The sequence below is a fragment of the Homo sapiens genome, chromosome 8 (genome assembly GCF_000001405.40).
Source record: "Homo sapiens chromosome 8, GRCh38.p14 Primary Assembly".
NCBI classification, from domain to species: Eukaryota; Metazoa; Chordata; class Mammalia; order Primates; family Hominidae; genus Homo; species Homo sapiens.
Window position 1 is genome coordinate 56,112,598 of NC_000008.11, and position 2,338 is coordinate 56,114,935.

At 48.5% G+C, this 2,338-nt stretch overlaps 1 protein-coding gene across 1 annotated transcript, besides 1 other annotated feature; it reads right to left on the reverse strand.

Moving 5' to 3' along the window:
• Positions 1-344: 344 nt before the first annotated feature.
• MOS (MOS proto-oncogene, serine/threonine kinase) lies at positions 345-1,385 on the reverse strand. The gene has a single exon (NM_005372.1). The coding sequence runs from the start codon at positions 1,383-1,385 to the stop codon at positions 345-347; it is 1,041 nt and encodes a 346-aa protein (NP_005363.1).
• Positions 764-1,264: an enhancer, noted in NCBI's record as "H3K4me1 hESC enhancer chr8:57025920-57026420 (GRCh37/hg19 assembly coordinates)". NCBI's record gives its function as "activates a minimal SCP1, AML or CMV promoter by ChIP-STARR-seq in primed H9 embryonic stem cells {active_cell/tissue: H9 hESC(primed)}" and the evidence as "EXISTENCE:reporter gene assay evidence [ECO:0000049][PMID:30033119]".
• Positions 1,386-2,338: the final 953 nt, after the last annotated feature.

Below are 2,338 nucleotides of genomic sequence, written 5' to 3' on the forward strand. Positions count from 1 at the left end.
GGTATGGGATATATATGGATTTATAGAAAATTTTGACATTTCTGCAGTGGAGTTCTATTTTGGACAAACTTTTATCAATAACAAATTTAAATAAATGAAATACTAGCAATGGAAAGCAAAGCACATGACTATATGAATAAGATTAGTTACTAACAGTACTGAGACAACAGGTACTAGACTTGTAGCTTTGCTAATGTGTCCTAGAAAAAGCACTGGAGACTAAAGGAGTTTTTAGTAACTTTATTTTCTAAAACTCCATCCTACAAATATGTTTTCTTCGACATCTCCACTTCCTTTAAAAACAAATAGAATCAGACAAAAACTTATCTTGACCAGGTTTTCAGTCAGCCGAGTTCAGCTTTCAAAGAGGTGAGATCCACCAAAAGCAGCCGCGCGCTCGGCCTCTGCGCCGCGCTGGGTCTCCAGCAGCGCTGGATGACGTCCCCAAGGCGCTGCCCGGGGAGCGAGTCCTCGAAGACGGCAGCGGAGAGGGACGGGCGCAGGTCGTAGGCCACCACCGCGTACAGTATGTGCTGCCGCTCCCCCGAATACGGCGCCTGCTTGGTAGTCATTTGCCAGAGAGTGATGGCAAAGGAATAAATGTCGGCTTTAGGCGTCACGCCCTCTCCTTTCAGGAGCTCCGGGGCGCGGTGGGTGTATGTGCCTCCTAGAGGGTAAGAGGGTGTCTGGAAGCACAGCAGATCTTCCAACTTCTCAGAGCAACCGAAGTCACTAATTTTACAGACATCCTGCTCACTGATCAAGATGTTCGCGGGCTTCAGGTCCAAGTGCACAATGCTTTGCGAGTGGAGGAAGAGCAGGCCGTTCACAACATCTAGTGAGTACTTGAGACACTTTCCCAAACTTAACTGTCCTCCAGTGCGGCAGTGAGGCTCCCCTGCGTCCCCCTCAGGGTGGCCGGCGGCGCCATAGATGACTTGGTGTAAAGTGACGTTGCCACCGAACTCCATGATGATGGTCCCTAGGCTATTGGACCCTGCGGGCGTGCGCGTGCTGGCAGCCACCACGCGCACGATGTTATCGTGGCGCAGCCTTGCTACGTTGAGCTCAGCCCAGAAACTCCGCCGAGATGCTAGTCGGTTCTTGGTGCACTTGTTCACTTGCTTTATGGCCACAGGAACACCGCGGTAAGTCGCCTTGTACACCGAGCCAAACCCTCCAGCTCCCAGCCTCTGCAGCAAGCACACCTGCTCCCAGTCAATGGAGCACCAGGCCAGCCGGCGCGGCAGCCGCGGGGCCCGAGGAAGAGTGGCCCCCAGAAGCAGCTTCGCAGGTAGCTCTGAGGGACTGCTGCAGGGCCGCGCGTCCACCGATGGGGAAAACTCGCTCCGGAGGTAGGGGCGTAGGGCCAGGGGCGAGGGCATCGCACTTTGCAGGGGGACACCAGGGCCGCTGGAGTGAATGAAGAGACTAGGGGAAACCGCGGGACTTTGGAAACATGACTGACTACTCCTTCGCTCCACCTCATCCCTTTTCTCCTTTTCCTTCACTTGTTCCAAATGAGCTACATCTGTGCTGTCACTCAGCAAGAGTTTTTATCAGATGGAGGGAGAAACCGGAATGAAGCACAGCTATCCCTTTCAGATGAAAGCATTTCCCTTCCACACTTGAAGTGAATTCTTATAAAAACAAGCTCATGCCAGACAAACAGCATGGAGCTGCCTCAGAACTCACCCCTCTTTTACATTATTTCTTAAATTATAATAAAATACGTTTTTTTCAAGTCTCATCCGCTGCACATTATCAGTCCTCAGACTAAAGAGACCACAAAGCACAATGAAATTGTTTCACACTTTGCAGGCTGTAATGATTGTTAGTGTCATTCTCCAGCTGCATTAAATCACTTCCAGCAGGTATTGGCTAAGAGTTAAAATGCAAACAGCAGACATTTGTTTAACCAATTACAGGGAAAAACTAGGTGCAACATTCATATGGATAAAAAATTGCAACCTTAATCAATCCAAATAGAATCACTGATACAGGTCATAACACACACCTAAATTCATCAGTGGAAAGGAGAATCCCCTGACACTCTATGCAGCTTACACAGCAAATTAGCAAGACATCTTAGCAACATACTGACTTCCTAACAATCCTTCCCTTCCAAGGCGATTTGGCCCAACCGGTCAGCTCACTTGCAAGAGAGATTCTAGACTTCGTAGCAAATGAGTTACCGAAGTTTTGAACCAGAGTTGGGGGAGACAAAAGAATAGAAATGATTCAGAGCTGTGATCAGGGCTTCAAATAATAACACATATGGGAGAATTGTAGAAGAGGAAAAATCTGAAGAAATAAAAATGGCACAAAATCACTGGTA

Excerpts from the sequence above, each read along its gene's own strand:
- MOS (NM_005372.1), bottom strand. The coding sequence starts at position 1,385 with ATGCCCTCGCCCCTGGCCCTACGCCCCTACCTCCGGAGCGAGTTTTCC.